General features: G+C 35.0%; 1 protein-coding gene across 1 annotated transcript in view; it reads left to right on the top strand.

The window, feature by feature from the left end:
• Nucleotides 1–13,222, top strand: part of UGT2B17 (UDP glucuronosyltransferase family 2 member B17) — a 39,150-nt gene that overhangs the window by 19,246 nt on the left and 6,682 nt on the right. The window contains exons 5-6 of the mRNA NM_001077.4: nt 5,166–5,253; nt 6,181–6,400. Of these exons, the coding sequence (NP_001068.1) occupies nt 5,166–5,253; nt 6,181–6,400 (308 nt within the window). The remainder of the gene's footprint in view (nt 1–5,165; nt 5,254–6,180; nt 6,401–13,222) is intronic.

The following is a 13,222-nucleotide window of genomic DNA, read 5'->3' as shown; positions in this document are numbered from 1 at the left end:
TTATATAAATACAGCTCAAAAAGACCAAACACCATTTCATGTTTGACAATGTTCCCTGTATAATTTTTATACCAAATAAGCCAAATTATGTCATTTTTGGACTTTAGGGAAACTAATAAATTAAAGGATTACTTAGGTCAGAAAAAAACATAATTTTGGAAAATTTGTCAAATATCAAAGGATTAAAAAGCTTGATATCACAGGTAAAATAAAGCATTCATTTGACTAAAGTAGTAACTCAAGGATTTCAAAAAAAGGCAAAAATCTTCATTCTTTGAGAGAGGAGACTCAATTTGCCAAACAATAAGCCCTAATAAAACAGCATGAAGCCAAATAAGTTTGTTTTTCAAAATTGTATGAACAATCTATAAAATTCTAATCTTGACCATAAGATATAACTTTCCTCAGCCTTTCATAACGTTTATAATCTTTATTAAGAAGTCAGTTTATGCTTCAAGAAAACCTTGTTAATCTGACACAGGGGCCCATATGTTGGTCTTGCATTAGTGTGTCTTTGACATTAATGATTAATTTATGCATAAACGGAACTTATTTTATCTCTTAGTATCAGTTCTTTCAATCTCACACACCCACCTCTTCTGTGATAGTCCCTGGACCTTGAGGAGTTGAATAGCTTTTAGAAAACACTGTTAGCATTATGCCACAACAAACAGAACTTGAGGAAAAAACTTACATGAGTTGAAAATGAGTTGAAGGAGAGTGTTACTATTTCACACCCTTTAAAAGGGGAGAGAAAACCAAAAACAGTGAGATGCAAGAAAAGTTAAACTTTGGGTTAAAAAAAAAAAACTCATAATATTTTAAGAGTAAATCAATCCCTTAAGAAAATGTTATTGTTCTAACCAATTATTTAGTGCATAAGTGCTTTTTTTACATCAAGCCCAATCTGTAGAAACACCATTATAATTTCCCTTTAATTATAGACAACTTGATCATATAAAAGTTTTTTTAATCTTCTTATTGTGACTTACACAGATCATTCATGATATGTTTGGACTTTCTGGTTTGTCCTGAACATCCTTCTTTCTTACACAACTGATCATTTTATTCTAGGACTAAATTTACCACACAAGATTCTTTCTCATATAAAATTATTTCTCTTCAAGCTTTTTACAAAAAAAAAAAAAAAAAACTTTTTATTTTTATAACTTTCTTTACATCTCCCTTACTTCCTGGTTCCTTTTACCTTGTTTTATACATAACCTTTAAATAAGCTTTGAATTAGACAACACTTCTTCACCTTTTTAAAAAAGATGCACTTTTTTTTGGAAAGAATGTTTTCCTACAAATTTTTTTTTAAAAATACCCAAACAATGAAATATCTATTATTTAATTTAATATAACCTTAGATTCTAAATTATGAGTTTGTCTATAAGTATTTATCCCATTACATTTACCTAATTATTTAGTCATTTACCTAGAATATTTGTGAAAAGTGTGGTAGTCATCATTTAAAGTTATGGAATTGCCATTGCAAAATTATAACTGAGACAGTGAAAAAGATCTGACCTAACTCCATCTTGCTTTTAACCTCCAAGCTCTCCGTGTTTATTTCTGGGTGTAGGCCAAACTAACTTAAGGAGGAACTTAGTTTATAGTTTAGCTTTGAAATAAAAATGATAACAGTCTTTTCCCAAAACAAAGCTTAATGCCTGTGGACTAGATTGCTTAAGGCCACAAGATGAGAAGTTATGATAATCTTACTTAATTCAAGGTGTAGCTATTTGCATTAAACCAATATTAATGTCTTATTTATTAAAAATTACACAAGTGAAGATCATTCTGTTTTGGGCTTGGTTTACAGTTTTGTAACCCCTATGTCAAATTTTGACACCTTAAAGTATTTGGCAAGAATAAGTATGAAATTTCTTGATTAATAAATGCAAACAAAAATGTATGCTGGCAAGTCTTAATGCATTTCTAATATTATCATACTTTATCAATAATTGTTGTTATCTTATTTATAAAAGATTTTATTTAAGTTACATAAACTTGAAAAAGCATTTAATTAGTCTTTTTTTCTGGCAAAGTATTTAATTCAAGCACTTTTATTTTCTTAAGCCAATTAATTAGAGCTCTTTTATATATTTTCAGTAATAAAACATTGTGTACAAAACACATAAATACATAGATGTAGTAAGCATGCCAACAGAAGTACATCTTACAGGTTTATAAAAACTCCTCTTTGCCATATTAGACTTTCAAATTCTTGATAACCTGTTTCAATAGGTAATCTGTATGAATACTTGATCACCATAGGCAGTTGTGAGCTAAATAATCTTACATTTGCATATTAAAAGAAACCATTCAGGTGAAAATCAAATAGCAAAATTTACATCATAATGTACACAGAGAAAAAAATTGGTGTGCTAGAAGGAAAATAAAATGGATTTAATTGCCAATTAAACATAAAATTATAGAAATTATAATGGCCTTTTAAATATATGCAAACACTTACACACACACAAAAGATTATGTGGTTTTTACTTCAGAAATTTAGCTATGAGATAAAAAAAAATCACCAGCTTGCAGACAAAAACCTGTTGAATCAAAACAGTGGTTTTTAACTTAATAGAAAAATAAAAGCAAATTTAAAGCAAGAATAAAAGAAAATTTTTAAAAAAGAGAGAACTTAGGAACTCTACAGTTTGTAGGACAACCTTAGGGCTCTTAATGTATATGTGCACAAAGACCGTATTACCTTCATTTTACATAAACTCTGCCAAGTAGAGGTGTCATAAATCCAAACAGGCGATATCAGGGGATCATTCTTCTTCTTTTCTCATCATTCTTAGATTATTTGTTTCCCACTTTTTTTCCTAAAAGGAGGAACTGAGCTGTGGCCTAGGGTTTATGTGTGGTGAATCAATGTGTGCTGCTTGTGGGCAGTACTCCACAGTGTGTCACCACTGAGTTGTTTCCACCCTCTTACGTGTCTCAGTTTCTCCCTCCAGAGGTGTATGACCTCTGAGAGGGCTCAAAATGCTGGGTGATCTGCCCTCATATGTGTTTCCTGGACTAGCCTTTTTTTAAAAGTTAATTTTTCTTGGGGATTTCCCTGCAGGACCACTGCATGTCATAGGGGGTCAAACCCAAGACACTCCCACAAGGCCCCCAGTTGCTTAGGGGTGCCTTTTGCCTGGGAGGAGCAGATGCCCTTTCACTTTGGAGCTGAGAAAACTCAGTCTTTCATTTTCCTATGTAAACCACAGTTCAGTTTCTCACACAAATCCACACAGACAAGCCAAATGAGATTAATTTGGGGAATAAAAACAATAGAGGAGACCCTTTACAACACATCTCCAAACTAGAATTAGGATTCTTAAACAACAACTTCCTAGGAGGAAAAAAATAACAACAGTCAATACTACTTCCAGTAAACTGTACTCAGCCACCCTCTACTTTGTAACTCGTCTGCCATTACACACGCCAAGGTAAAATCCTCTCACAGTACAAGGTAATCTGTGGTAATCTCGAAGCCAAAGAGATCAGGTCATTCAACATAGGAAAACAGAGCTTTGGACCTAAGAAAAAATCTGCCCACAACTCTTGAAACTCCACAAAGAAAACAGAGCACCCCCAAAGGGGTGAGTGGTGCCTTTGTTCTGAATTCTTTAAAAGAGTTCAAATCATTAGAAGCCTTCTCTAGATTTTTGGTACTACAAATGGCAAAAGACAAAAGGAGGTATAGGGTGGAGGAAAAGTAAACAAAAGAACATTTGTTTTTTTAAAGACAGGAAGCAAACACAGAAACCAAGAGCATGGTTTTTAGGTTTTGTTTTGTTTTCTCTTTTGCATCTGTGAAGAATTTTCACCAAATTAGACAGGCTTTGTTACCCACAATTTGGAATTCTCACTCAGATATGATCAAGTCAGGTAAAGTTTGTCAAATCTGATGGGAGAAATACTGGAATGTACAAAAAAAATACTCCCAAAAATGTGATCATTAAGCACTGTAATGGTAAGGAGAAATTAAGTCCAGCTAGTTGTTAAACATTAACCAAGACAAAACCCCAATTCAGCTATTTACCTACGGATGGGTTTCAGGCTAAAACTGCCCTCTGTCGTCCTAGAAGTAGGAAAGAAACCTCAAATTTATCCTCCCTCCTGGGAGTGAGCTCAAACTCCATAGAGTTACCTGCCTTCCATTGTCATGGAAACAGGAAATATTGCCTTTCTTGTAGGAAGCAAGTAAAACTCCAAAAAAAAATAAAAAACAAAAAAAAAGGAGTTGTACAGCAAAATAAACTTTTGGTCTTGACTGAATTTTGGGGTATCAGGGATTCTCTGGAGGGGTTGCTCCCAGACCTCAGCCAATTGTCTTATTTGTTTGAGCCATAAAGTTAGCTCATGCTGGTACCAAGCACTGACAGGACATTTATCAAAGGTCAGGGAACCTCCACTCAGAGTCTCTTCATGGTTACCAAAATGTGAACCCTGAATATCTGAGGCAGGTCTCAGTTAATTTAGAAAGTTTATTTTGCCAAGGTTGAAAATGTGCACCCATGACACAGCCTCAGGGGGTCCTGGTGACATGTGTCCCAAGGTGGTGGGGGGACAGTTTGGTTTTATACATTTTAGGGATACATGAGACATCAATCAACTTATATAAGATGGACATTTGTTCAGTCCAGAAATGGGGGACAACTAGAAACAAAGGCAGAGCAACTTGAAGCATGGAAGGGGCTTCCAGGTCATAGGTAGATAGGAGACAAATGGCTGAATTCCTTTGAGTTTCTGATTAGCCTCTCCAAATGAGGCAATTAGATATGCATTTATCTCAGTGAGCCAAGGGCTGACTTTGAATAGAATGGGAAGTAGGTTTGCCCTGAGCAGCTTAACTTTTCCCTTTAGCATAGATTTTGGGGCACCAAGATTTATTTTCCTCTCACACTCTCATGTGTCTAGCTATTAAGTTAGAAATGTCATTTTTTTATATACCAAATTGATTATAAAAGTAAAGATATTAAATGTGGGTATTCAGCTTACCTCAGACTTTTAGTAGTTCTCATTACTTGACATCACTTCTTCTTATTTCTTCATCTTTTATATGGATTAACTGATTATTAATCTCTTCAGAATTCTAACAAGTTATATTTTTAGAGTTCTATTCATTGAACAAGATATTTTCCTTGCCCTAACAGGTTCTATGGAGATTTGATGGCAAGAAGCCAAATACTTTAGGTTCCAATACTCGACTGTATAAGTGGTTACCCCAGAATGACCTTCTTGGTAAGACTCTGGAGAACAAATACTGAATATATTAGTAACAGCCAATTAGAAGTGATAATATTTCAACATAAAACAAACATATTTAACATTTATTATTGGAAAACTAAAAAAAAATCAAATTTAACTACTTTATATTTATTTTCTAGTCTTAGTATAAGAAGAATACACTATGGTAGTTGGCATTTTGTTACATACAGTCACATTCTTTATGGTCAGAATAAAAATCTCTTTATTCAGGTGTAATTACCTCTCACAGGTTTTAAATAACATCCTGGATTTTCTGTCTCTTATTTCTGCAACTTTACATCTGTTCCTTCCCCTACTGCAGGGTTATTTCAACAGGTACTGAAAAATAACAGACATTCTTCTATTACCAGTGACTCTATTTTCTGTGGGAATAAATCACCAATCTTTATCATAAAGTGATAACACATTTCATGATGATGTGTAACCTGTCCTTCCTCAGCACCACCTCCACCCTACTCCTTGCTGCCTTTAAAAAAAAATTTAAGTATTTTAAATATTTTAACTATTTAAATATTTTTTAAATATATAAATGTGACTGCATAATTTATACTACTTAAGAGACTATGTTCTTGTATACCAAATCTTATTCTTTTCTTTTTTGCACATTTTAATTTTTTAATTAAGAATATGTTTTTTCATTTTGTTCACCTGGCAAACTTTTAAATTTATGTTTCCACTGTGAAGACACACAGACCACCACCTTTTCATGTAGCCTTCACTTACCTTTCCAGCAGAAGTAGGTGCTTCTTCCTCTGAAATTTGAAAACAATTTCAATGCAGTTTTGTGGGTATAATGTTACCTAGGGAACAGTTTTGCTTTAAGTTCCTTATATTGTGCATTTCTTATTCAATTCCTGTGCCTTATAATTAATAACTTTGTTAAAATGCATCCACTTTTAGGTCATCCCAAAACCAAAGCTTTTATAACTCATGGTGGAACCAATGGCATCTATGAGGCAATCTACCATGGGATCCCTATGGTGGGCATTCCCTTGTTTGCGGATCAACATGATAACATTGCTCACATGAAAGCCAAGGGAGCAGCCCTCAGTGTGGACATCAGGACCATGTCAAGTAGAGATTTGCTCAATGCATTGAAGTCAGTCATTAATGACCCTATGTGAGTATTACAATTTTGTGACCAGGTGGTACTTACAAATTATTTTGTCAACAGTGAATATGAGTTTGAACCCTTTGTTAAGAGACTAATTTTGAAGGGATTGAAGTGATTTAACCAATGTAAAATCTGCTCTTATTTTCCACCAGACAATTATTTCAAAGTTACATTTCAACCCCACAGATTTAATGGGTCACCAATGACTGCAATGAATTATAAAATCAAAAAAATTAAAGATATGTACATAATTATTTTAAATATTTTTAATGATAGAATACACAATAGAAATTATGTAACTAGAGAAATATGATAAAATATTTCAATTCAATACCTAAAATTTCTGAAAGTATGAATCTATTCTTTCTCAAAAATTTATTTTTATTATTATCATTATTTTAATCAATTTGAAAATGAGTTACAATTTGCATAGCATAACATTCACTAAAATTTAAAATCTAAATATATTTAGTATGTTTACATAGTTACGAAGCCACAACCCTAAATAACATTTTTGTGAGCTCAAATTAAACTCAAAATGCATGAAGTCACTCCCAATACACCTCCAGTCCTAGAAAAATACCGACTTACTTTGTTTCTCAATAGATTATTCTCTTCACATATTTTATATAAATGAAATCATACAATTTATAGTGTTTTGTAAACGACTTCTTTCACTTAGCATAATTATTTTTAGTTTTATTTATGTTGTTGGATGTATCAGAACTCATTCATTTTTATTTCTATATAATATTCTTTGATATGTTTATACCAAAATTACCCATTTATCAGGGCATGGACATTTTAGGTCTTTCCAATTTTGGCACTTACGAATATTGTTATACATATTTTCTGTGTAAAAATATGTTTTTACTTCTTTTGAGGAGAGGCTAGGAGTGGACTTGCTGAGGCATATGGGAAATTGTTGTTTATGAAGAATGGCTAAACTGTTTTTCAAAGTATTTGCATCATTTTTCATTACCACCAGCTGGATAGGAGGGCTCTAATTTCTTCACACTCTTCCCAACACTTGTTATCACCTGTCTTTCTATTACAGCCTTTCTAGTGTGTGTAAAGTGGTCTCTCATTATGGTTTTCATTTGCATTTCCTTATGGCTGAAGATGTTAACCCTCTTTTCATGTGCTTACTGATCATTCATGCATCTTCCTTAGATAAAATTTCTATTTTAATCTTGTGAACATTTTGTCATTTTTCTATTTACCTTATTATGGATTCATAAGAATTATTAATATGTTATAGATACTATCCCTTATCAAATATACGATTTTCATATATTTTCTTCCACTATGGGCAGATAGATTTTTTTTTTTTTTTACTTTTTGGAGGATGCCTTTTGAAACATGAAGGTTTTAATATTGATAAAATAAATATGTAATAGTTTTCCATAATCCAAGGGAAATAATATGGAAAATGCTGTGACTACACCAGCTACCATCAATTCAGAGTCTATTAATCCTACCAATATTATTATGATGTAAGGTGGTACCAGCTAAGAGAATACATTAAAAACACTTTACCAAAAAATTAGTAAGACAAGAAATGATTTAAAATACTTCAAATAAAGTAAAAAAGCAAAGAAACAGAAAACAGGTTAGAAAACAAAAATATATAGAATAAAATGGTGGATTTAAATGTGAACTAGGGCAATCAGGCAAGAAAAAGAAATAAAGGGTATTCTATAAATAGAAAGAGAAGAAGTTAAATTGTCTCTATTTGCAGATGACATAATTCTATATTTAGAAAACCCCTTCATCTCAGTTCTAAAATTCCTTAAGCTGATAAGCAACTTCAGCAAAGCCTCCGGATAGAAAAATCAATATGCAAAAATTACAAGTATTCCTATACACCAACAATACACAAGCAGAGCCAAATCACGAATAAATTCCCATTTGCAATTGCAACAAAGAGAATAAAATACCTAGGAATATGCCTAACAAGGTACGTGAAGGACCTCTTCAAGGAGAAATAGAAAACCCTGCTGAAGGAATTAAGAGAGGACACAAACAAATGGAAAAACATTCCATCCTCATGGATAAAAAAATCAGAATTGTAAAAATGGCCATGCTGCCCAAAGTAATTTTTTTTATTATACTTTAAGTTTTAGGGTATCTGTGCACAAGGTGCAGCTTTGCTACATATGTATACATGTGCCATGTTGGTGTGCTGCACCCATTAACTCGTCATTTAACATTAAGTGTATCTCCTAATGCTATCCCTCCCCACTCCCGCTACCCCCAAGCAGGCCCCGGTGTGTGATATTCCCCTTCCTGTGTCCTCGTGTTCTCATTGTTCAATTCCCACCTATGAGTGAGAACATGCGGTGTTTGGTTTTTTGTCCTTGCGATAGTTTGCTGGGAATGATGGTTTCCAGCTTCATCCATGTCCCTGCAAAGGACATGAACTCATCATTTTTTATGGCTGCATAGTATTCTATAGTGTATGTGTGCCACATTTTCTTAATCCAGTCTATCATTGTTGGACATTTGGGTTGGTTCCAAGTCTTTGCTATTGTGAATAGTGCCTCCATAAACATACTTGTGCACATGTCTTTATAGAAGCATGATTTATAACCCTTTGGGTATATACCCAGTAATGGGAATGCTAGATAAATGATATTTCTAGTTCTAGATCCCTGAGGAATCGCCACACTGACTTCCACAATGGTTGAACTAGTTTACAGTCCCACCAACAGTGTAAAAGTGTTCCTATTTCTCCATATCCTCTCCAGCACCTGTGGTTTCCTGACTTTTTAATGATTGCCATTCTAACTGGGGTGAGATGGTATCTCATTGTGGTTTTGATTTGCATTTCTCTGATGGCCAGCGATGATGAGCATTTTTTCATATGTCTTTTGGCTGCCTAAATGTCTTCTTTTGAGAAGTGTCTGTTCATTTCCTTCACCCACAAGCTGATGAGGTTGTTTGTTTTTTTCTTGTAAATTTGTTTGAGTTCATTGTAGATTCTGGATATTAGCCCTTTGTCAGATGAGTAGATTGCAAAAATGTTCTCCCATTCTGTAGGTTGCCTGTTCAATCTGATGGTAGTTTCCTTTGCTGTGCAGAAGCTCTTTAGTTTAATGAGATCCCATTTGTCAATTTTGGCTTTTGTTGCCATTGCTTTTGGTGTTTTAGTCATGAAGTCCTTGCCCATGCCTATGTCCTGAATGGTATTGCCTAGGTTTTCTTCTAGAGTTTTTATGGTTTTAGGTCTAACATGTAAGTCTTTAATCCATCTTCAATTAATTTTTGTATAAGGTGTAAGGAAGGTATCCAGTTTCAGCTTTCTACATATGGCTAGCCAGTTTTCCTAGCACCATTTATTAAATAGGGAATCCTTTCCCCATTTCTTGTTTTTGTAAGGTTTGTCAAAGATCAGATAGTTGTAGATGTGTGGCATTATTTCTGAGGGCTCTGTTCTGTTCCATTGGTCTATATCTCTGTTTTGGTACCAGTACCATGCTGTTTTGGTTACTGTAGCCTTGTAGTATAGTTTGAAGTCAGGTAGTGTGATGCCTCCAGCTTTGTTCTTTTGGCTTAGGATTGACTTGGTGATGCGGGCTCTTTTTTGGTTCCATATGAATTCAAGTAGTTTTTTCCAATTCTGTGAAGAAAGTCATTGGTAGCTTGATGGGGATGGCATTGGATCTATAAATTACCTTGGGCAGTATGGCCGTTTTCACGATATTGATTCTTCCTACCCATGAGCATGGAACGTTCTTCCATTGGTTTGTTTCCTCTTTTATTTCCTTGAGCAGTGGTTTGTAGTTCTCCTTGAAGAGGTCCTTCACATCCCTTGTAAGTTGGATTCCTAGGTATTTTATTCTCTTTGAAGCAATTGTGAATGGGAGTTCACTCATGATTTGGCTCTCTGTTTGTCTGTTATGGGTGTATAAGAATGCTTGTGATTTTTGCACATTGATTTTTTATCCTGAGACTTTGCTGAAGTTGCTTATCAGCTTAAGGAGATTTGGGGCTCAGACGATCAGGTTTTCTAGATATACAATCATGTCTTCTGCAAACAGGGACAATTTGACTTCCTCTTTTCCTAATTGAATACCCTGTATTTCCTTATCCTGCCTTATTCTCCTGGCCAGAACATCCAACACTGTGTTGAATAGGAGTGGTGAGAGAGGGCATCCCTGTCTTGTACCAGTCTTCAAAGGGAATGCTTCCACCTTTTGCCCATTCAACATGATATTTGCTGTGGGTTTGTCATAGATAACTCTTATTATTTGGAGATACTCCCCATCAATACCTAATTTATTGAGAGTTTTTAGCATGAAGTGTTGTTGAATTTTGTCAAAGGTCTTTTCTGCATCTATTGAGATAATCATGTGGTTTTTGTCATTGGTTCTGTTTATGTGCTGGATTACATTCATTGATTTGTGTACGTTGAACTAGCCTTGCATCCCAGGGATGAAGCCCACTTGGTCAAGGTGGATAAGCTTTTTGATGTGCTGCTGGATTCAGTTTGCCAGTATTTTATTGAGGATTTTTGCATCGATGTTCATCAGGGATATTGGTCTACAATTCTCTTTTTTTTCTTGTGTCCCTGCCAGGCTTTGGTATCAGGATGATGTTGGCCTCATAAAATGAGTTAGGGAGGATTCCCTCTTTTTCTGTTGATTGGAATAGTTTCAGAAGGAAGGGTACCAGCTCCTCCTTGTACCTCTGGTAGAATTCAGCTGTGAATCCATCTGGTCCTGGACTTTTTTTGGTTGGTAAGCTATTAATTATTGCCTCAATTTCAGAGCCTGTTATTAGTCTATTCAGAGATTCAACTTCTTCCTGGTTTAGTCTTGGGAGGGTGTGTGTGTCGAGGAATTTATCCATTTCTTCTTGATTTTCTAGTTTATTTGCGTAGAGGTGTTTATAGTATTCTCTGATGGTAGTTTGTATTTCTCTGGAATCGGTGGTGATACCCCCTTAATCATTTTTATTCCATCTATTTGATTCGTCTCTCTTTTCTTCTTTATTAGTCTTGCTAGCAGTCTATCAATTTTGTTGGCCTTTTCAAAAAACCAGCTCTTGGATTCATTGATTTTTTGAAGAGTTTTTTGTGTCTCTATTTCCTTCAGTTCTGCTCTGATTTTAGTTATTTCTTGCCTTCTGCTAGCTTTTGAATGTGTTTGCTCTTGCTTCTCTAGTTCTTTTAATTGTGACGTTAGGGTGTCAATTTTAGATGTTTCCTGCTTTCTCTTGTGGGCATTTAGTGCTATAAATTTCCATCTACACACTGCTTTGAATGCGTCCCAGAGATTCTGGTATGTTGTGTCTTTGTTCTCGTTGGTTTCAAAGAACATCTTTAATTCTGCCTTCATTTCATTATGTACCCAGTAGTCATTCAGAAGCAGGTTGTTCAGTTTCCATGTAGTTGAACAGTTTTGAGTGAGTTTCTTAATCCTGAGTTCTAGTTTGATTGCACTGTGGTCTGAGAGATAGTTTGTTATAATTTCTGTTCTTTTACATTTGCTGAGGAGTGCTTTACTTCCAACTATGTGGTCAGTTTTGGAGTTGGTGTGGTGTGGTGCTGAAAAGAATGTACATTCTGTTGATTTGGGGTGCAGAGTTCTGTAGATGTCTATTAGGTCCTCTTCGTGCAGAGCTGAGTTCAATTCTTGGATATCCTTGTTAACTTTTTCTCGTTGATCTGTCTAATGTTGACGGTGGTTTGTTAAAGTGTCCCATTATTATTGTGTGGGAGTCTAAGTCTCTTTGTAGGTATCTAAGGACTTGCTTTATGAATCTGGGTGCATGTATATTTAGGATAGTTAGCTCTTCTTGTTGAATTGATCCCTTTACCATTATGTAATGGCCTTGTCTCTTTTGATCTTTGCTGGTTTAAAGTCTGTTTTATCAGAGACTAGGATTGTAATCCCTGCCTTTTTTTGCTTTCCATTTGCTTGGTAGATCTTCCTCCATCCCTTTATTTTGAGCCTATGTGTGTCTCTGCACATGAGATGGGTTTCCTGAATACAGCACAGTGATGGGTCTTGACTCTTGATCCAGTTTGCCAGTCTGTGTCTTTTAATTCTAGCATTTAACCCATTTACATTTAAGGTTAATATTGTTATGTGTAAATTTGATCCTGTCATTATGATGTTAGCTGATTGTTTTGCTCGATAGTTGATGCCGTTTTTTCCTAGCCTCAGTGGTCTTTATCATTTGGCATGTTTTTGCAGTGGCTGGTACCAGTTGTTCCTTTCCATGTTTAGTGCTTCCTTCAGGAGCTCTTTTAGGGCAGGCCTGGTGGTGACAAAATCTCTCAGCATTTGCTTGTCTGTAAATGCTTAGAGATTTTATTTTATTTCTCCTTCACTTATGAAGCTTAGTTTGGCTGGATATGAAATTCTGGGTTGAAGATTCTTTTCTTTAAGAATGTTGAATATTGGCCCCCACTCTCTTCTGGCTTGTAGAGTTTCTGCCAAGAGATCAGCTGTTAGTCTGATGGGCTTCCCTTTGTGGGTAACCTGACCTTTCTCTCTTGCTGCACTTAACATTTTTTCCTTCATTTCAACTTTGGTGAATCTAACAATTATGTGTCTTGGAGTTGCTCTTCTTGAGGAGTATCTTTATGGCATTCTCTGTATGTCTTGAATTTGAATGTCAGCCTGCCTTGCTAGATTGGGGAAGCTCTCCTGGATGATAACCTGCAGAGTGTTTTCCAACTTGTTTCCATTCTCCCCGTCACTTTCAGGTACACCAATCAGATGTAGATTTGGTCTTTTCACATAGTCCCATATTTCTTGGAGGCTTTGTTCATTTCTTTTTATTCTTTTTTGTCTAAACTTCTCTTCTTGCTTCATT

Source organism: Homo sapiens, chromosome 4 (assembly GCF_000001405.40).
Source record: "Homo sapiens chromosome 4, GRCh38.p14 Primary Assembly".
In the NCBI taxonomy this organism is placed as follows: domain Eukaryota; kingdom Metazoa; phylum Chordata; class Mammalia; order Primates; family Hominidae; genus Homo; species Homo sapiens.
Note: the sequence above shows the minus strand (reverse complement) of the source record. Positions and strands in the feature narration are given on the sequence as shown.